At 40.3% G+C, this 21,279-nt stretch overlaps 5 protein-coding genes and 1 further gene across 6 annotated transcripts in view, besides 2 other annotated features; all 6 read right to left on the bottom strand.

The window, feature by feature from the left end:
- UGT1A6 (UDP glucuronosyltransferase family 1 member A6) overlaps nt 1–4,755 on the bottom strand; it is an 81,599-nt gene extending 76,844 nt beyond the window's left edge. The window contains exons 1-2 of one of the 2 annotated variants that reach the window (NM_205862.3): nt 4,637–4,755; nt 2,592–2,658 (exon numbers count right to left, since the gene is read on the bottom strand). In NM_205862.3, the coding sequence (NP_995584.1) occupies nt 2,592–2,651 (60 nt within the window). In that variant the 5' untranslated portion in view covers nt 2,652–2,658; nt 4,637–4,755. Of the gene's footprint in view, nt 1–2,591; nt 3,568–4,636 lie in introns of those variants that run through there. The other variant, NM_001072.4, reaches the window with a different exon arrangement.
- Nucleotides 1–14,556, bottom strand: part of UGT1A7 (UDP glucuronosyltransferase family 1 member A7) — a 91,400-nt gene extending 76,844 nt beyond the window's left edge. The window contains exon 1 of the mRNA NM_019077.3: nt 13,665–14,556. Coding sequence (NP_061950.2) covers nt 13,665–14,519 — 855 coding nt within the window. The 5' untranslated portion in view covers nt 14,520–14,556. The remainder of the gene's footprint in view (nt 1–13,664) is intronic.
- Nucleotides 1–21,279, bottom strand: part of UGT1A (UDP glucuronosyltransferase family 1 member A complex locus) — a 187,861-nt gene that overhangs the window by 76,843 nt on the left and 89,739 nt on the right.
- The window catches only part of UGT1A8 (UDP glucuronosyltransferase family 1 member A8), a 155,668-nt gene that overhangs the window by 76,844 nt on the left and 57,545 nt on the right, over nt 1–21,279 (bottom strand). The gene's annotated exons all lie outside the window — the stretch shown is intronic.
- UGT1A10 (UDP glucuronosyltransferase family 1 member A10) overlaps nt 1–21,279 on the bottom strand; it is a 136,853-nt gene that overhangs the window by 76,844 nt on the left and 38,730 nt on the right. The window lies entirely within an intron of this gene.
- UGT1A9 (UDP glucuronosyltransferase family 1 member A9) overlaps nt 1–21,279 on the bottom strand; it is a 101,403-nt gene that overhangs the window by 76,844 nt on the left and 3,280 nt on the right. The window lies entirely within an intron of this gene.
- Nucleotides 4,215–4,821: an enhancer, noted in NCBI's record as "NANOG-H3K4me1 hESC enhancer chr2:234600282-234600888 (GRCh37/hg19 assembly coordinates)". NCBI's record gives its function as "activates a minimal SCP1, AML or CMV promoter by ChIP-STARR-seq in primed H9 embryonic stem cells {active_cell/tissue: H9 hESC(primed)}" and the evidence as "EXISTENCE:reporter gene assay evidence [ECO:0000049][PMID:30033119]".
- Nucleotides 4,822–5,429: an enhancer, noted in NCBI's record as "NANOG-H3K4me1 hESC enhancer chr2:234599674-234600281 (GRCh37/hg19 assembly coordinates)". NCBI's record gives its function as "activates a minimal SCP1, AML or CMV promoter by ChIP-STARR-seq in naive H9 embryonic stem cells {active_cell/tissue: H9 hESC(naive)}" and the evidence as "EXISTENCE:reporter gene assay evidence [ECO:0000049][PMID:30033119]".

Genomic DNA, 21,279 nt, shown 5'->3' with positions numbered 1-21,279 from the left:
ATCAGTAGCATTTATAAATGCCAACAGAGAAAAAACTGAAAAGGAAATCAACCCCATTTACAAAACGTACAAAGAATATATAATACCTAGGAATAAATTTAAGGAAGGAAGTGAAAGATCTGTATAAGGAAATGAGGATGAAGACCAAATATATATTTCACGATATTACAGTCCTACGTTTTCTTTATCCATTCATTCACTGATGTGTGCTTAGGTTGATTCCATATTTTGGCTACTGTGAATAGTGCTATAATAAACATGGGAGTGCAGATAGCTCTTCAATATATATTTTTTTCTTTTGGATATATACCCAGCAATGGGATATATTGGGGCAGTTCTAGTTCTTTTTGTTTTGTTTTGTTTTGAAGACTCTCCATACTGTTCTTCATAGTGGCTGTACTAATTTACATTCTTCAAATGTAAATTAGGGACTGAGCCCCATGTCTGTGGGACCTGATGCTATCTTCAGGTGGACATCTTCAGAACTGAATTAGAGGACACCCAGCTGGTATCTGGCAGAATTGCCTGCTTGCTTGGTGTGTGGAGAAAAAAAACCCCACACATTTGTTCACTGAAGTTTTCTGCGTTGTTTGTTGTTGAGTGAGAAAACAGGAAAAACCCTTTGAGTTTTTTGTTGGTTTTGTTTTCCACTCACAGATAGTACATATACAGAATGGAAAATTATTCAGCCATAAAAAAGGATGAAGACCTGTCATGTGCAGCAACATAAATGTAACTGGAAGTCATTATGTTAGGTGAAATAATCTAGGCACAGAAAGACAAATACCACATGTTCTCATTTATATGTGGAGCTAAAAAAGTGGGTCTCATGGAGGTAGAGAGTTCATTGGTAATTACCAGAAGGTGGAAAGGGTAAGTAGGGAAGGGGGGGTGAAAATGGTTGGTTAAAATTTAAAAAAGAAAAAGAAAAAAGAAATAAAATTTGTAATACTCCAAAAACTTTGATAGAAAAGAGAAAAACATCTAAAGGGCCAATAAAGCACGTTGATCAAAAAAAAAAGAAGAAGAAGAAGGCCGGGCGCGGTAGCTCACGCCTGTAATCCCAGCACTTTGGGAGGCTGGGGTGGGCGGACCACGAGGTCAAGAGATTGAGACCATCCTGGCCAACGTGGTGAAACCCCGCCTCTACTAAAAATGCAAAAATTAGCTGGGAATGGTGGCACATGCCTATAGTCCCAGCTACTCAGGAGGCTGAGGCAGGAGAATCGCTTGAACCCAGGAGGTGGAGGTTGCAGTGGGCTGAGATCGCACCACTGCACTCCAGCCTGATGACAGAGTGAGACTCTGTCTCAAAAAAAAAAAAAAGAAAAGAAAAGGGTTGGTTAATGGGCACAAAAACACCATTAGATAGAATGAGTAAGTCCAAAGTGCGATAGCACAGTAGGGTGACTATGGTTAACAAGAATGTATACTGCAGTTCAAAATAGCTAGAAATGAAGAATGGGAATGTTCCCAACATAAGGAAGGAATAAATGTTCAAGGTGATGGATATCTCAATTACCCTGATTTGATCATCGCACATTGTATACGTGTATCAAAATATCACATGAACCCCCCAAATGTGTACAACTATATTATGTCCCAATTAAAAGAATCCTGACATTCTATGTTTTTATTTCATGCCCCAGAATCCCTGGAACCATTTCAGTTATCCCCATCCCCTCACCCTTGCCTTTTCACAGTGGCTACTGCCAACTGTTCAAATTGTTAACAGAGAAATCAGCAGGTGTAAAGAAGAGAGGTAAGGGTCTTTGGGACCTGTTTGAGGCTTTCTCTCTGATAAAAAAGGAACTGGAAAAGAAAATTGAGGCATAAAAGATAGAGGGAGTTGCCTGAAGCCCTTCAAAGTTGTAAATATTTACATTGAAATTTAAAACTCACAGATTTTTATTTTCCAAAGTAACTCTGGGCCCTTTTCCTACATGTCAGGAGGGCATCTGTAAACACTTGTCTTAGGTCAGAGGCCATACCCCTTTTGCTGAAAAGGCCAGTCAGTAAATGTGTAGGCTTTGCAGACCAAATACTTCTGTGGCACATATTCTTCATTGTTAAATTGTTTTAAAACTACAAAAACCATTCTTAGCTCTGGGCCATATAAAAACAGGTCTCAACATAAAAGGAAAAAAAAAAACAAAAAACAGGCCTTTGGGCAGATTGGGCTCACAGGCTGTAGTTCGCTGGTCCCTGGCTCAAGGTCCAGAGACAAAGCATGGGACAGAGTTGGGAAAATGGATTTTAACCTGGACCTGTTCCCTTAGTCAAGCCTTCACCTCTGTTTGAACTGGGACATTTCTAAGGCTCATTCAATGAGTATGTGACTGTCCCAGATTATCCAACTAAGCAAATCTCCTACTCTTGCCAAGCATGAGCCCTGTCTTCATCCGAATGCCTCTGTATCACTTCAGCCTCAGGTCTCCTATGTGTTCCCGCTGCTCCGAGCCGGGTATCACTTCCCCCCACCGTTTCTCCAGGAAATCCTCCAAGGGACAGTCGGCTCAAGGAGCCAAATGAGTGAGGGAGGACAGAGCCTGGAAGAAACAAGGCAGTCCAAAAGAAATAAACCCACCAACCTGAGACAAGTCTTTCCTCTTCTTACAGTTGATACCTCCAATGAAGACCATGTTGGGCATGACCGGCCTAGGATATTCAAGCACAAAGTCATATCTTAACAGCCAAACAGAGACCTTCTGATATAAGGTGATTATATCCACATCTCTCTTGAGGACAGCTGATGCGAGTTCTTCATACTTTGAAAACAGACAATAAAATAGATAGGGCTCCAACAAATTAACAAGGAAGTTGGCCACTCGTTGGGAAAAAGTCATGTGGTCTGAAAACTTTGTGTAGCACCTGGGAATGTAGGACACAGGGTCTGGGCTTCTGCTGAATGTATGCTCCAGGGAACACGGAAAACCCCTGAAGAGGTACACAGATGGTAGGCCCAAATACTCAGCCAGGATCACCCCACAGGGTAAGGCTGGGTCTGTGAAAAGAGCATCAAACTTGCTCTCCTTAAAGAAGTTCAGGGTGTCCCTGTCCTGCAGGAGGCTCTGGCAGTTGATGAAGTACAGGCCAATAACAATCATGTTATTCCTGTACTCTGTCTGAGGAGCAGTTAGGAATGATCGCTCAGCAAAGTGATTGTTTCCAAATGATTGGTAACGGTTCTTCAGCTCTTCTTGGTCATACGGCACTGGATAGATTTTTCTTGTGTAGTATTTGGATTCTTTCAAAAGCAAATTAACTTCAGGCACCACCACTACAATCTCATGACCCCGGTCACTGAGAACCTCAACTATATCCTTCATACTAAGCCAGTGGCTTCCGTCCTGAGGGACCACCAGCAGCTTGTCACCTACAACCATGCCCCAAAGTGCTAAGAAGAAAACCCCTGCAGAAATTCTCTGAAATGAGCGAAGGAGGCAGGCCATCCTGGAAAGAGTTAAAGTAACAACGGTAATAAAGAGTTTTCACTCTCCAAATCACAGGGCTCCTAGGTATTTTCCCTAAACTAACCACTGCTTTTCACAGGTCCTGTCTACCTCTCCCTTGCTCTGAATTTTACCCTTTGATATGTAAGAACCCAAATTAATATTTAACCATTTTAATCACATGGTTAATATGAACCAACTATGGCCGTGTCAGCTTTCACCTGAGCTTCTGGGTGTTTCTCTTCAGCTCCACAAGTCTGCTTCTCCCTCTCTGAAAAGTTATAGCAACACTTTGAAGATGACTTGGAGAGACCCCTGAGGACCCCCTGCCAATTCTCTATCCCGAACTTGCTGGATTCCTCATCATTGACGTTGTCTGTTATGTCCATGATGTGCGGGAATTTTTCTTGCACACGGACCTATTCTCTAACACCAGCTGGGTATCCTACAATTCAATTCCATTCTGAACTGAATTCTGAGTTAGCACGGACCCCACAGGTTAAGGGCTCAGTCCTACAAGACTGCCCTCACTTCAGACACCAATTGCAAGTAGTAGGTCCCCAGGTTACCCACAACTTCTGTCTGACTTGGCAAAAATCAGAGGTTCACACACCCTCTTTCTTGGAGTCAATCATTTGCTAGAATGGCTCACAGAACTGAAGAAAACAGTTTATTTACTAGGTTTGGTTTATTACAAAGGATATTGCAAACAATACGGATGAATAGCCAGAGGAAAAAGTACAAAGAACAAGATATGGGGGTATGGCCATGGAGCCCCATCTGCCATCTCTGGGTGCCCCACCCTCCACACCTTCAGCAACCTGAAAGCTCTCTGAACCCTGCCCTTCTGAGTTTTTATGTAGGCTTCCATACATAGTAGGCATGATTGATTAGATTGTTGCCCATCGGTGATCAAATCAATCTTCAATCTCTCTCTCCTTTCTTCCCTCTAATCGCAAGGGTTTTGTTCCCTGGCAACTAGCCCTCATCCTTAGAGACTTTACATCTCCTTTACATAAACTTAGGTGTGATCGAAAGGGATCTGTTTTGAATAACAAAAGATTCTTTGTTCACGTTTATCGCTCCCACCACTTATGGTTTCAGGAGCTGTGTCCAGGAAACAAAGACAAACATATATTTCTTATTATACATCACAATATAACAACATTCAAACTGTTACTTGCCTTTAGGAAATTAAGATTTGAGAAGTATAAGTCTAGCCAGTACGTGGTGAGAATCCTAGAGCAGGAGTCAGAAAGCCTGGTATCTGCTTCTGGCCCAGCCACCCATCTGCCAGGGGAGTGACTCCTCTCCTGAGCTTCAGGTTTCTCAACTGAGGCCCAGAAAGGGAGGGTCACACTGGCCCTGCCTGCTAACCACACTGCTGAGGGCGGTCCCAGAGCAAGACCTGTGTAGAAACTAGGCTGTCCCAGTGAGAGGTGGTACCTTGAATTACTAGAACAGACTTGCCCAGAGCTAGTCATGCACACCTGGCTGGCACGCGAGTTCCTGTTCCCACCCACAAGTTTGGCACCGGAGGTGTTCTGGGGCCCAGGAAGGGAGAAGAAGCCTGAGCAACATGATTAGAGGGGCCACTCCAAGGACAGGGCTGGCCCCCATGGGGAACATAACCAGGATGCAAATTCATTGTTCAAGGCATGCGAAGACTCAGCTCAGTCCAAGCTGGGAGCAGCCTCCCAAGAGGATTGGCAGCTTACAATGATCAAAGTCATGGGGGCGGCAGCATCTTGCTTTGAGTTCATCTAGATAGCAATAAGACTCCAGGAAGGTTGCAAAGGGAACAGAGCTCAGGTCCACCTTCTTGAGCAGGCAGACATTAGGCAGGTTTCCTTCAAAGAACAGTTCATCTAGAGGAAGAATGGCTTAAGCAAGCATGTAGGAATAGCGGGATCAAGAGATGCTACAAACTTCACATTCTTTATACTAGACCTCCACTCTGCTGTGGACGTTGGTCTGAGCCCTTCCAACCACAGCCTTGCTCTGAAAATCCTGTTGCTCATATGTGGGTCCTGTTCTTAGTCCCAGAAGTCCCTACAGAACATGAGTTGGAGGAAGGAGCTGAAGAAATGAAACTAACATCACTATGCATACCATCCCTTGAATTCCTAACACCTTCTTGCAAATTAAGAAGGTATTAGAAAACATTTTTCTTTCTCCTGTGAGCTTTGACTGTACTAAGAATGGTGTGTGTGTGTGTGTGTGTGTGTATGTGTGTGTGTGTGTATGTCTGCACTGGACACTAGCCAGAGGAATCTGGCATGTCTGTTCGTCATAATGACGATCCCTAAAGAGTAGCTCCGCTGGAGACCCAGGCCTGCCCTGGTTGGTGCTGTAGGAGTCAAGGTGTCCTCAGGTATCACTTGAGTGTCCAGGCAAAGGCCGATTTTTTTTTTTTCTCAGGGATTGCTGCAGGCTGAATGACTCAGGCTTGGGACATATTCCAGTGGGGTGAAAGAAGTAGATCCTAAGATAAAACAAATCTCTGTTGGCAAGAGCAGATTTCCCAAAAAGTAAATGGAGGATAGCTGGCATTTTGAATAGAGGAGAGACCCAAAGATGTGCATGAAGGTAATTTCATGTTGGGAATAGGAAGGTCTGGAAACGTGGACCCTATGGAGAGGTTTGCTTCTAAGGTGCTAACTCTTTCAGACCCTTGTATGACCTACGACCCATAAGTAATGGAGCCAGGACCCACCTGCAAGATTTCAAAGGACCTGCAAAATGTTTGAGACTTAAAATAAGAAATTTGCTGAATCTAGAATACTAAAATGGCAAACATTGAATTTATGAATATTTTATGAAATGGCTATAAAAACATAACTACATGTCAATGAATCCACTACAGATTAGCTCACCAAGTTACAAAGACATATGTGACATAAGATGCAGGAGCAATTTAATCTATTTGATAGGCTGTGAGGTGGGGCTGCAGAAGTCAGAATGCTCTGGGCCCAGATCTTGAGGAAGGTCCAAAATGGTGAGATGAAGTGAGAATCCCTTTTAGGGGCCTGTGGGTTCCTCCAAGCATGGAAATAAAGGAAAATCTTGGGTTCTTTCGAAGGAAATTCCAGGCACCTACCTGGCCCTGAGAAATAAATAAGGCACTTGATAAGCAAGAAGGTAATAGTAGCCTAAAACAATATCCAAGAAAGTTAGAGTCCAGAGATGTTTGGTTTCCTATAGAAACTACAGATCACATCATAACATATGTCCCCGAGTTGTTTTTCAGAAACCTGGACTCCCACCAAATGGATTCTTTGGCAGGCAGACCTCAGATAAGGGGAAATAACGACTGAACTCTGACAGCCATTCTTTGTTCTTGGAGGAAGTCACACTCATGAGCAAGAGCAAACATTCTTTTCTGCTAACCCCGAATTTTAAACCAAGCTTCTCTTCCTTAGCTAATTGCAAATCAGAAAATCTCTGAATTCACCTATGACCTGCAAGCCCTCACTTCTCATGACCAAACCAATGTGTAACCTCTGCGTATTGATTTGCGATTTCTTCTTGTAACTTCTGTTTTCCTAAAATGTATCCTTGCTCTTAAAAACCTTTACTTGCAAGCCATTAGAGAGATTGGGTCTCAAGTATAAGCCTCCTAACACTCCTTGCTTTGTGCCCTGCACATAAATGCCTTCCTTTCTCCCATTGCAAATCTCAGTGTAGATGTTTGGTCTTACTGTGCTGGGTGAGTGAACCCCAGTTTAGTTTAGTATGATAACAATAGTCAAGTCTGAATCACTCACAGATGGAATAGGGAAGTGCAGGTAAGTATGGCTTGCCCAGCCAGACAGTTCCAGGGGCACCTGTCCTAGTAGAAGATAAGGTGTTTATAACTTCCTTCAGGGGCTTGTAACAATGTGGGTTGTGGTTCCAGGAGCAGTGGGGAGGGGCACAGGCCACTAAGTTAAGCCATGACAAAGGGATTATACAGAAGAGACATAAAGTAGGATTTCCACTTGGCCATGTTTATGAAGTAAAGAGACCCTGGGACATAGGGATGAAGGGAAAGAACATGCTATGATTCCAAACATTTGGCTTCATGCTGCACCTGCCATCTTCCCTGCTTGGCACACCATCCCCCCAACTTCTCCCAAGATTGCCACTCCTTATCCTGCAAGGCCCCCTATGATCAGCTCTCTTTACATCCTTTTCTTTCAAAGTATGTTTCACAGTTTGTAGCTAATCAATGCCTTCCTCTCCATTAGAATGGCAAAGCCATGTTCATTTGATTATGGCCATATCCCAGTCACTCAAAGACTCTCAACAGATATTTGTTCAATGAAGGACGTTTAATATTAAATTTTTTAAAAAAGAGCCAGCTGCATGTTATTCTGTAACACCAACAAAAACAAGACGAACTCATGTTTGCTGAGGGTGTTATTCTGTAACACCAACCAAAACAAGATGAACTCATGTTTGCTGAGGGATTAGAGACCATGTGATGTAAGTCAAACCCACTCTAGGCGCATTTCACTGCATGTGACATTCCCAAAAGGATGGAGATAGGACATTTCCCAAGAAGTTTCCTGTCAACACAGGGAGGCAGTCAGGTATAGAGGTTAGGCACATGGGCTCGAAAATTAGAACATCAGGGTTTATCGTATACAAATGTTCACAACAACATTATTTTTCATGGCTGAAAATGGGAAACAACCCAAATGTCCACCAACTGATGAATGGATAAAAAAAATGCGGTAAATCCATACAATGGAATATTCGGCCATGTAAAGGAATGAAATACTGATTCATGCTACAACATGGATAAGCCACAAAACTAAGTGAAAGAAGCCGGTCATAAAGGCTTCCATTTCCATGAAATGCCCAGAATAGGCAAATCCATACAGACAGAAAGTAAATTAGTGCTGAGGGGTAGAAGAAGGGGGAGAAATAAGGAGTGACTGCCAGTGGGCATGGGGTTTCTTTTTGGAGTGAGGAAAATGATCTGGAATTAGATATTGGTGATGGTTGATTGTATCTGGGAGCACACAGAAAACCACTGAATTTTACGATACATGAATTACATATCAATTTTTAAATTTTATTTATTCATGTATTTATTGATTTATTTATTTTGAGACAAGGTCTTAGTCTATCACCCAGGCTGGAGTGGAGTGGAATAGTCATGGCTTACTGCAGCCTTAACCTCCTGGGTTTACAGGAGATCCTCCCACCTCAGCCTCCTGAGTAGCTGGGACCACAGGCATATGCCACCAGGCCCAGCTAATTTTTAAAACATTTTTTGTAGAGACAGTGTCTCCCTATGTTGTCCAGGCTGGTCTCAAACTCCTGGGCTTAAGTGATCTTCCTGCCTTGGCCTCCTAAAGTGCTGTGATTACATGTGTGAGCCACCACACTCAGCCTTTTTTTCTTTCCTTTTTTTTTTTTTTTTTTTTTTTTACAAAGAATGTATGGTCTTGAATTCTGGCTCCCCCACTTACTTGAGGCATAACCTTGGGCAAGTCACTCAACCCCTCTGTGCCTCAGTTTCATCATCTGAAAAATAGGTCTGCCAATAATGCCAGCTTCCATGTAAATACTTAGGGTAGCACCTGGTACACGGTAAGCCTCCAATATATGTTAGCTTTTATTATATTTAATTTGCAAATTCTCCCTAAGGAGACAGTCCACCCATCTGAAGTTTAAATCATTCAAGGGAAACTTGCATCAAGAAGACAACATTGATATCTCACCATGTTGTTCTGAAGAGAGTCTGAATGCATGGTTAAGATCATTAATCTTGTGGAGGTTGGAGATAATTGTGCTGGAAAATGCATATCACCCACCCAATTACGGGTATTGCTGATTCATATCCACATGCCAGTCATCTGCATGTATTATCATATTTAATCTAGATAACGCTGAGTTTTTACCCAAGTTTACGCAAGTGTCACAGCTGAAGTACTTATGAAATCAGGCTTGGAGGACTCCAGGGTCCGCGTGCTCAAACACTACATTGAACCACCTCCTAAAGTCCTCTAGTGTTGAAACCAAGACTTGGGGTACAACTTCCCTGCCTTGCTAATTAATTACTGACAGCTTCCCTGCATGAGTCAGCCAGTGGGATGCCCTTTCTTGTTGACCCCTCTGGGGCAGGAATCATGCAGAAAAAGTGACAGAAAGGAAAGACATAGGTGGGGAAGGAGATAGAAAAGAGGAATAAAATAGGTAGGGAAAAGTAACAGGGGAGGTGGAAAGAGGAGAGTTGGAGTGTTGCATAAAATAAAGCCAGTGAGGCTAGGGAAGGCAAGAGGTTGACCTTCATAGCCGGTGGGAGGGTGCAGGCCAGAGGGCACCACCAGAATATCCTGAGTGGGCCAAAGAGGTAGTGTATCATGTTTGATATCACATTATCAAGATAGATTGAAGGAGAGAGAGAGACAGTCAAAGAAAGCAGCAGTAATCCACACTAACTTCTGAAACCAGGGATTTCAGAAAGCCACGGAAAGGTTAGGTTCTAACGCAGGTGGAGGCTCCACCTGGGCTCACCTGTTCAGAAAGTTTCATAGGAAAGGAAAAAATAGGATGTTTCATGGGAGAGCCTCCATGTCAAGCATGCGTGTGTTTATCTGCACACCTTAATAAGGGCGCCCACACGAGTTGTCTTTTCATTCTCTTGATAGTATCCTTTGATATACAAAAGCTTTTGTATAAAAACATTTTGATAAAGTCAGATTTATCTCTTGTTTTTCTTGTTTTAGTTTCTTGTACTTTTGGTACAAGAAAAAAAAAAATCTCAGAAACCATTTCCAAATCCAAGGTCACAAATATTTTTCTAATTTTTTCTTCTAAGAGTTTTACAGTTTTAGATTTTCTATTTAGGTCTTTGATCCATTTCAAGTTAATTTTTATATATGATACAAGGTAAGGGTGCAACTTCATTCTCTTGGACTTGGATATGCAGTTGTCCCAGAACCCTCTGCTGAAGACACTATTCTTTGCCATTTCAATGCTCTTGGCACCATGATGAAAATCAAGGCAAAGGATGTACAGGATTATTTCTGGACTTTAAATTCTATTCCATTGATCTACATATAAAAGACTTTTTTGAGACAATCAGGATAAATTTAATGATGGATTGAAAATGAGATAATATTAAAGAATTATTGATTGTCTTAGGTATTGTGTCTATGAAACAAATTTTCCTTATTTTTTATATTTAGTGAAGTATTTCGTGATGAGACAACATGCCAAGATTTTCTTTAAAACAAAAAGTCAAAATTTTTCTTTAAAATGGAAGAAAAAATGGAGAAAGACGAAGCAGTACAGCAAGATATTGAAAATTATTTAACTTAAGAATGGCTATATGGGTACACATTATGCCATAGCCTCTCCTTGGTATATGTTCGAAAACTTTGATGATAAAAAGTTGAAATAAATAATCTTGGAGGGAGGCCTTGGGCTTGCCCAGTAACAGGTAAATTTGAATTTGGATCAAAAACAGAATGCGAGAGCAATGGGGAAAGCATAGATCTTTTCTTGCTGTAACCACATCCCAGTCCCAGTTCTCCAGAGCTGCACTGGCCCTAGATGGTGTAGATTCAGCTCGAATTCTTTATAACTGGATTCAACCATCAATTCTGCTGTAATTCACCAACAAGTCAAGAAAAGTGGAAGTGATTTTCTTTTTTTCTCATTAAAACCACTTTAAGTCCGGGTGTGGTGGTTCACACCTGTAATCTCAACACTTTGAAAGGCGGAGGCGGGCGGATCACTTGAGGTCAGGAGTCAGAGACCAGCCTGGCCAACATGGTGAAACCCCGTCTCTATTAAAAATACAAAACAAAACCGTTTTAATGTTCTCCTGAATGATGATCTACCATCCTTGTTAAAGTATTTAATTACATCCCTGGATGTAATTCACCTGGATAGACTCAATAAGATTTTGTTATAGGAAACCTTTCAGAAAAAAAATCTCCTGTGCAGAGCTTAAGACATTGCACACAAACACACCTGCACATACAGACACATACGTGCACAAACACCACATACACACACACTGCATCATCAAGCAATGCTTTCTTTTCATCAGACAGATGAAATGCAGACTATGAATCCTGTTGTCTAACAAGGTACAAAAAACTGTATACTTTTCCAAGACACACCCTGCCCATATGAAACAAGAAAGGAACACTATACAGTGTCCATAAATTTTTCTATGACAATTTACTTTTGTGGTTGAGCCATATCCAGGGCTCTTTGCCAAAGGGCACTCTTTATGATCTGAATTCTTCTTTGATAATTATATTTATTTTCTATTTATAAATATATACATTAATACATAACCTTCCACATCTATAAATCCTATCATATGTATATTCCTTAAAGGCATATAAATGCATATATTTTATACACCACTGAAGATATACAAATAACCAAAATATGTAAAACTATATATGGCTCAATGTTTCATATTTTATAGATCTCTCTATCATATACCATTATAGGTGGTATAGAATCATATATAATTTCTACATCTCTAAATCCCTTTGGGTGACCCTTTGAGCCACAACAAACTCAGCATGGGTTCAGAAAGTGGCAGGCCACACACTTGGCTAGAGGGTGAGGCTGCAGGCAATACCTGAGTGATGGCTGGTGCTGTAATTGATGGAGGGTAAACAGGGGAGAGACACTTTGACAAGTCTATCCTCTTAGCGTCCTACAACTTGCATCTCCTCGCCTGGTCTTGCCAAGAGCTGAAAGTCATGTTTCATTTGAAAGGCCTACAACTGTAGTCTCCCTGATTTTTAGAAAGCGCTTGGTTGCATTTTCCCATGAGTTGGTTGAACAGTCACTCTTTCACCAAACATCTGCCAATATGAGAGAGAATGTGACTGTGTTACAAAGTCTACTGAACTTTGTAAGAAGCCAGAACAATAGATAAAAATGTATACTCCATCCCTAACAAAATAATATACTTAGATCAGACACCAGGTGTTTCACCTGGATTTAGCAACTATGCATTTGCCAAGAATCTTACTCTTGTATTTGTCACGACTTTTTCAATTGCAAGTGACCAAATCCTAATTTAAGCTGGCTAGACCAACAATATTAATAATATTTTGGAACTATATGCTCCGCCAAAATAAGAGGTATAAATACCAGGGGAGGGAATAATTTGCAGATGATATTGCATACTTAATACACCTTACATACTAATACGAGAGTTTAGTAATATGACTACATACAAGATAAATGTGTAAAACTCAAAGCAGTACATTAATTATGCATAGTGAATTCAAAAGAGAAATGGGAAAATTGCCTTGCACATAATGGTTTCAAAAATAATGAAATGCAGAGGAATAAAGGTTAATAAGAAAGATGAAATACTTTTATAAAGTGCAAAATTTTATTTATGGAAATAAAACAGAATCCGAATAAATAATGAGGGATTCATATTCTTGAGTAGGAAGATGTAATAGCAAAAGAAGGCCAATCTCACTCATTTAGTGAAAACCAAGCAACCATACTCATAGGATGATACCCTACTGAGATAAAAGCAAAAATATGAAAATATATATAATGTAAAGAAAGTATACAAGAATTCTTATTATTGCTCATAAACCCCAAAAGTGGAAAACACTTAAATCTCTATCAATCTTAATTGGTTGGAAAACTACATTGCATCCAAAGTAAAGACTACCATGCAATTATTAAAAGAACATGTCAAATCTGTATGCATTGACCTGTAAAGATATCTTTAACTTATTGACAAGAGAAAAATCTAACATAAAAAAACATAGCCAGCATGATAGTAGATTTTATATTGATAAAATAGAAGTGACAATTTACCCTAAATATATGCATATACATAGTATAATTTCAAAAAAATTGAAAACAATTCACACAAAACTGCTAAGAATATTTTCCTCTGGGGGTAGTGTAGAATTAGCAAAAAAAGGGAAGTTTCATTTCTTACTGTGGTTTTTTTGTATTTTTCCAAAAATAGCATTTAGATTGCAGCCTAGATATGATCTACAATTATATCAATTGTATACACTTACATATCAACAAGAGCTGCTTTATACAATTTGCTACCCAACAATTAAGTGAATTGGTACAAAAGAATTCCTTAAACCAGAAAGAAATTCCAAATGGGACAAATGTAAATGATAAATTATGATTCTGTAAGAAATCTTTTAATTTCCAAAGCCAGATTATTCTTAATGTGCTAAAGGGGAGATAACTTACCATAGGCACTGGCTTTCCCTGATGACAGTTGATACCACCAATGAAGATCATATTGGGCATCACGGGTTTGGGATACTCCAAAACAAAGTCAGTTCGCAACAACCAAATTGATGTGTGGCTGTAGAGATCATATGCCGTGACAGGGGTTTGGAGAATTTCAGAGGCTATTTCTAAGACATTTTTGAAAAAATAGGGGCAAAATAAATGTTCCTCCAAGTGCATGATGTGGTTCCATACTCTCTCCTTGAAAGTCATGGCGTCTGAGAACCCTAAGAGAAGTCTGGGGACATAGGAAAGAGGAGCAGGGCACTGTGCACCTTCTTCAAGATAGTGGCAAAATATTCCCCTGGCGAAGACCACAGAGGGGAGGGAGAAATATTTGGCAACAATTAAGCCACAGGCATCAAAAGGATCGAGAAACACTGCATCAAAACAACTCTCCTTTAAGTATTCTACTAATTTTCGGTCATTAAACAAACTCCTGCAATTTGAAAAAAATAAGTCAAAAATACCATTGGATGAACTTGTTAATAGAGAAAATGCACTTCGCAATGGTGCCGTCCAGCGAGCATCGGCAAAAACCATGAACTCCCGGTCCTGATCCTCCAGAGTGTATGAGGTTGAGTAAGTCTTCACTGTGCAATTCAGTGATCTTCCCAGTTGCCAACTCACCTCTGGCATGACTACGACCACCTCATGCCCCCTGAGGATGAGTTTCTCCACCACCGACTGCATGGTGAACCAGTGGCTCCCATCCATGGGCACTACCAGCAGCTTCCCTGCCTTGGCAAAGCCACAGGTCAGCAGTAGACACACATATAGGGGAAGGAGGCCAGTCCACCCTGCACGAGCCATCAGAGAACTTCAGCCCAGAGCCAGCAGCTGGGATTCTAAGCTCCTATAATATAGTAAGTGGAAGAAGTACAGATAGAACCTGCCCTCAAAAGAAGGCGTGTACTTATTCATTCATTTAAAAAAAAATTCACATTCACTGCCAATGATTTACTCATAATAATACATGAGTAGCCTTTGCTGAGATACCTGCTTATATGTTTTCAAGAAAAGAGTAACTCATCATCTTTGCCTTGGGGACAGATCATGCCCTGTGCTGCAATATGAGTTTAGAAACAAAATTATTAAGCAATGCTTTTGGCCTTGACGACATTGAAAGATAAAAAGGAAAGTAAATTTGAACGAAGCTAATAATTTTGGAATTTGTCACAAAGAAAAATTTGCAATTTTTTTTTTTTTTTTTTTTTTTTGAGATGGAGTCTCACTGTGTCATCCAGGCTGGAGTGCAGTGGTAAGATCTAGGCTCACTGCAACCTCCACTTCCTGGGTTCAAACGATTCTCCTGCCTCAGCCTCAGTAGCTGGGATTACAGGCGCACGCTGCCATGCCCAGCTAACTTTTTGTATTTTAGTGGAGACGGGGTTTCACCATGTTGCCCAGGCTGGTCTCGAACTCCTGAGCTCAGGCAATCTGCCCATCTCGGCCTCCCAAAATGCTGGGATTACAGGCGTGAGCCACTACACCTGGCCAAAGTTTATAGACAATTTTTATTTTGTCCTCTGCCCAGAAAGAAATTGGCATCTCATGTTCGACGGAAAGAGAGCAAGGGTCTTAGCGTTGACCTCCTAACTGGGAGGAAATTGCGGCTCACCTGTGTCTCTGCAATACACAGCTCACTTGCGCATTGCAGAGACACAGGTGAGCCACAATTGTGACACAGGTGAGCCACAAGTGCTGCTTGTCTTTTTTCATTTCCAAATCTTCTGAGGCCTCTGAAATGCTGTAATGAGATTGACAACCCTGCCTCCATGGACCCTTCCAGAAATTTGATGGAATGTGACTGTCACCTATTTTAAATGGCTTTCCTCAGATACATTGTCTGCAGTGGTGAGTCGCCGTCCCTATGCTTGCCCAAGCACTCTAATGAGCTGTCTCTCTCTGCCCACTCTGCTTCTGCATTCTGAACAGAGCTGCAGGCCTTTGCTATGGGCCCACCCCAATCACTTTGGTGCTCATCTTCAGGAATCTATGTATTGTTTCCTCCATTCTACCGAGCACCCCTTGAGGATGAGATTACATCTTCTACCTGTTTTCATCCTCCTTCCACAGCACCCATGCTTTGCCTTGCACAGAGGAAGTCCATGGGAATTCTCATTGCATTGGGCTGAATTCCATCATGCAGATTTTAATGGGTGAGCTCAGCAGTGTGTGTTAGGCAACACACTGAGGAGCATTTCGTGAGGGATTCAACAGCCAACCTCAGGGCATAATTCTTGTAGAAGCACAAGATGGTTCCTTCCAGGACACCCTAACTGGTACTAGACATTTGCTTAGTCACTTTCCTCTAGTACATACTACACTACTATAATAATTTTGTTGCTACCTCCTGTTGCTATTGCAGGGAGCTAAAGTGTGGCCTAAATGCATGTGATATGACGTTTATACCCTCTGCGCGTTTCTTCTCTCTAGTAAATTGCATGTCAGAGTAAAAAATGATCTCTTATGGTTCTACTGTATTTTTCATCATGTTTAGTGTAATTTTTTAAACCTTGAATACCACCATGGGACTATAAAGTGCAACTAATGATGCTGCAAGTACTCCCAAGAAGCAAAGAAAAATCATGACATTACCAAAAAAACTTGAATTACTTGATAGGTACCGTAGATTGAGCTCTGCCGCTATGATTGCCTGCCATTTCAAAATCAATGAAGATAGATAAGGACCATTGCAAAAGAAAGAAAGAGAAAAAGAAAAAAGAGAGAGAGAGAAAGAAAGAAAAGAGAAGAAAAGATTCATGAAGACATTGCTGCAGCTATGCCAGCAGGAGCCAAACCTCGCATCTTTTTGTGAAATACATTTTTGTCTCATATTGAAAATGCAACTTTAATGTGGGTGTAGGATTGCTATAAGAAAGGCTTATTTATAGATGCCAATGTGATTTGAGAAAAATTAAAGTCATTTTATGACAACTTAAAGCAAAAGAGAGGTGAAGAATCTAAAACTGGAGAATTTAATGGCAACAAAGGATGGTTTGCTAGTTTTACAAAGAGGTTTGGCTTTAAAATTGTCCAGATAACAGGAGAACCAGCCTCTGCCAAGCAAAAGGAGGCAGATGAGTTCCCAGATGCCATGAAGAAAAGCATTGAGGACAAAGGATATCTGCCTGAACAGGGTTTTAATACAGATGACAGTGCCCTATTCTGGAAAAAACAAAAACAAACAAACAAAAAAAAAGATGACACAAAAGACATTTATTGGCAAGGAAGAAAACCAAGCACCAGAATGTAAGGCAGGAAGGGATAGGCTAACTCTACTGTTTTGTGTAAATGCAGTCAAGTTTACAGTCAGGACTGCCCTCATCAGTAGAACTGCCAAACCTCAAGCCTTGAAAGGAAAAGATCAACACTCACTGACAGTTTTATTGTTGTACAAAAAGAAGGACTCAACAATAAGAACGCGTTTTCTGGATTGGTTCCATCAAGGCTTTGTCCGTGAAGGCAGAAAATGCATTGCCAGCAAGGGACTGTCTTTTAAAGTTCTTTCGATATTGGACCATTCCCTAGCCACCCAGAACCCACAAGTTCAACACTGAAGGTGTCAAAATGGTCTACGTGCTTCCAAACCCAACATCTCTAATTCAGTCTCTCAATCAGGTGTCTTAAGGAAATTTAGAACTCATTACACACAGTTTTCTATGGAAAAGGTTGTCAATACTATGGAAGAGAATCTGGATAGAGAATGTCATGAAAGTCCAGAAGGATTACACCACTGAAGATGCCACTGTTATTATAGAAAGAGCTTTGAAAGCCACCAAGCCCCAAACAGTACATTTCTTCTGGAGAAAACTGTGACCAGATGTTGCACATGACTTCACAGGATTTATGACAGAGCCAATCAAGGAAGTCATGAAGGGATTATGGATACAGCAACAAAATGTTGGGGATAAGGTATTTCAAAATATGACTCTTGGAGAAATTCAAGAGCCAATAGATGCCACACTCAGGGAATCAATAGATGACCTGATAGAGATGAGTGCTTTCCAATCAGTACTTGATGAGAAAGAAGATGTAGAAGAAGCAGTGCCAGAAAAAAAATTGGCCTTACACAATACAAGCCTCATAGAAATGCTTCCAATTATTTAAGACTGCTATTGACTTCTATTAAGACATGAACCCTTATGGGCACTGAAACTAAAGCAAATGGGGAAGAAGGATTAGTACTGTATAAAAGCATTTTTAAATACATCAAAGAGAAAAAAACAGACAGTAATTATGATGTATTTCCATAAGGTTACACCAAGTGCACCTGCCTCTCCTGCCTCCACTTCCACCTCCTCTACCTCTTCTGCCTCTGCCACCCTGAGACAGCAAAATCAACATCTACTCCTCCTCCTCCACAGCCCACTCAATGGAAGATGATGAGGATGGAGACCTTTATGATGAATGACTTCCTCTTATACATACTCAACTTTTATTTTAGATTCAGGAGTACATGTGCAGGTTACCTGAGTATATTGTGTGATGCTGATGTTTGGGGCATGATTGCTCCCATCACCCAAGTACTGAGCATAGTACCCAATAGTTTTTCAACTCTTGCAGCCTTTCCTCTCCCTTTTAGGAGTCCATAGTGTCTATTGTTGCCATCTTTATGCCCAAAAGTACCCACTATTTAGCTCCCATTTCTAAGTGAAAACAATGGTATTTGGTGTTCTGTGCCTGTATATATTCCCTTAGGGTAATGACCTCCAGCTGCATCCATGTTGTTACAAAGGACATGATTTCATTCTTTTTTTATGGCTGCATATTCCATGGAGTATGTGTTCCACATTTTCTTCATCTAAGCCACTGTTGACGGGCACCTAGGTTGATTTCATGTCTTTTCTATTCTGAATAGAGCTGCAATGAACATACCAGTGCATGTGTTTCTTGGTAAAACGATTTTTTTTACATATATCTAGTAATGGGATTGCTGGGTCGAATGACAGTTCTGTTTTAAGTTCTTTGCAAAATCTCCAAACTACTTCCCACAGGGGATGAACTAATTTGCATTCCCACCAAGAGGGTACAAGTGTTCCCTTTTCTCAGCAGCCTCACCAGCATCTATTATTTCTTGACTTTTTAATAACAGCCATTCTAACTGGTGTGAGATGATATCTTATTGTGGTTTTCATCTTCATTTTTCTGGTAACTAGTGATGTTGAGCATTTTTTCATATGTTACGTTTTTTAATAACATTTTCTTTTCTCTAGCTAGCTGCATTGTCATAATACAGGATATAATACTAATAACATACAAACTATGTGTTAATTGACTGTTTATGGTATTGGCAAGGCTTTTGGTAAACAGTTGGCTATTAGTAGTTAAGTTTTTGGAGAATCAAAAGTTCTATGCGGATTTTCTACTACACACGGGTTGGTCCCCTTCATTCCCACATTGTTCAGGGGTCAACTATACTAGCAATGAACACTTGAAAACTGGATTAAAAATACCACTTAAATAGCATCAAAAACATGATATACTTAGGGATATATCTGACAAAGGATGTGAAAGACTGTACATTGAAAACTACAGAGCACTGATGACGGACCTAAATAAAAAGATATGTTAATGAATTGGAAAACTCAAAATTGCTAAGATGTTGTTTCTCCCCAGTTGATCTATAAATAAAATACAATCCCAATCAAAATCCTAGCAGGATTTTTGCACACATTAATGAACTTATTTTAAAATGCATATGGTAATGCAAAAGACCTCCAATAGCAAAAGCAATTTGAAAAAAAAAATTAGAGGTAACACTACCTCATTTATAGATTATTACACAGCTATAGTAATCAAATATTTCACAAATAGATCAACAGAACAGAATACAAAGTCTAGAAATACGTGCACAGATGTATGAACAACCAAGTTTTTACAAAGGTACAAAGGCAATGCAGTGGAGAAAAGGTTCTGTTTTTCTACAGTTGAATATTCACACGCAAGAAAACAAGAAAAGACCTCTGTGTCTTCCTACCAAAAGTCTATAAACCCAGTTTTACCACGATGAAAACATCAGGCAAAACACACACTGACATTCTAGAGGAACATTCTACAGGACACCTGACTAGGACTGCTCGAAACTGCCCAAGTCACTAAAAACAAGGAGAGTCTGAGAAACCGTCACAGGCTGGAGGAGACAAAGGAGACATGATGACTACATTTCAGGTGGTATCACTGGGATCCCATAAAAGAACAGGGAAATTAAGTAAAAATTAATGAAATCTGAAGGAAACAGACTTTAGCTTTTAGCTCATCATTATGCGTCAATATTGGTGAATGAGTTGTGATGGATGTGCCATAGAAACATGAGATTTAACAATGGTGGAAACTGGACACAGGGTAGATGAAAATTCTCTAAACTATTTGTTGTAACCTTGCTATAATCCTATATTTATTCTACAATGAAGTATTTGTAAGAAAAGTCACTCAACAGACTGTGAGAAAATATTTGCAGGACCCCTGTGGATGCACACAGGGGTGATTCATCAGTGAATTCATCATCAACCATGCTTCTGATGAATCCATCGGTGAAGGATTCATCAGAGGCATGGTGGGAGGTGGCTGGATGATTTCCACAAATGGTTTTGGAGTCTGACGCTGGAGCTCAAGGACCCCAGGGTGGGTCTTCTGTTGAAAAGACTATTCTTTCCCATTTGAATGATCTTGACACACTTGTCAAACTTTGGCACCTAGTCAATTGGCCAAGGATGTATATGTATGGGTTTATTTCTGAATTCTCCATTCTATTCCATTGATCTGTATGGAAAGATGTTGTGTGAGACAATCCGGGGAAATTTTATTATGGACTGTAAATGAGATAATATTAAAGAATTTTTATTGTCTTAGATATGATAATGATATTGTGGCTATGTAACAAATTTTTCTTATTTTTTATATTAAATGAATTGTTCAGTGATGGAATGACATGCCAAGAATTTCTTTTTAAAAACATACAAATTTATTTTTAAAAGTTTTCTTTAAAAAGATAGAATAAAGGGATAGATGAATTAGTAGAGCAAAATAGTGAAAATTATTTAACCTAAGAATGGATAAGTGGGTGCTCATTACACTGAGTCTCTCCATTGTGTATGTTTGAAAACTTTGAAAATAAAAACTTGAAGTAAATAATTTTAGTGGGAGGCCTTAGTCTTGTCCACCAAAAGCTAACTTTGAATTTGGATCTTGGACTATAGCCAGAATCTTACAGCAAGGGGGGAAGCACAGATCTCTTATTTATCTGTAACCATATCCCACCCCCAGAGCCGCACCTGCCATGGATGGTATAGACAAAGCCTGAATTCTTTTCACCTAAAACCAGTCATTAATTCTGTTGGAACTCATCAAAAATTCAAAAAGACTAGGGACCTCCTCTTTTTGCCATTAAAACTATTTCAATGTTCTGCTGAATTATTTACACATCATTAATCAACACACACACATTAGAACGCTGGAATGTAAAAGAATGACCACACGGAATGATATAGTTTAGAAGTTTGTCCCCTCCAAATCTCACGTTGAAATTTGATCCCTGACATTGAAGACGGGGCCATCTGCCATCCTTGTT

Source organism: Homo sapiens, chromosome 2 (assembly GCF_000001405.40).
Source record: "Homo sapiens chromosome 2, GRCh38.p14 Primary Assembly".
Classification (NCBI taxonomy): Eukaryota; Metazoa; Chordata; class Mammalia; order Primates; family Hominidae; genus Homo; species Homo sapiens.
The sequence above is the reverse complement of the archived record's forward strand: the minus strand, read 5'-3'. Positions and strand labels throughout refer to the sequence as shown.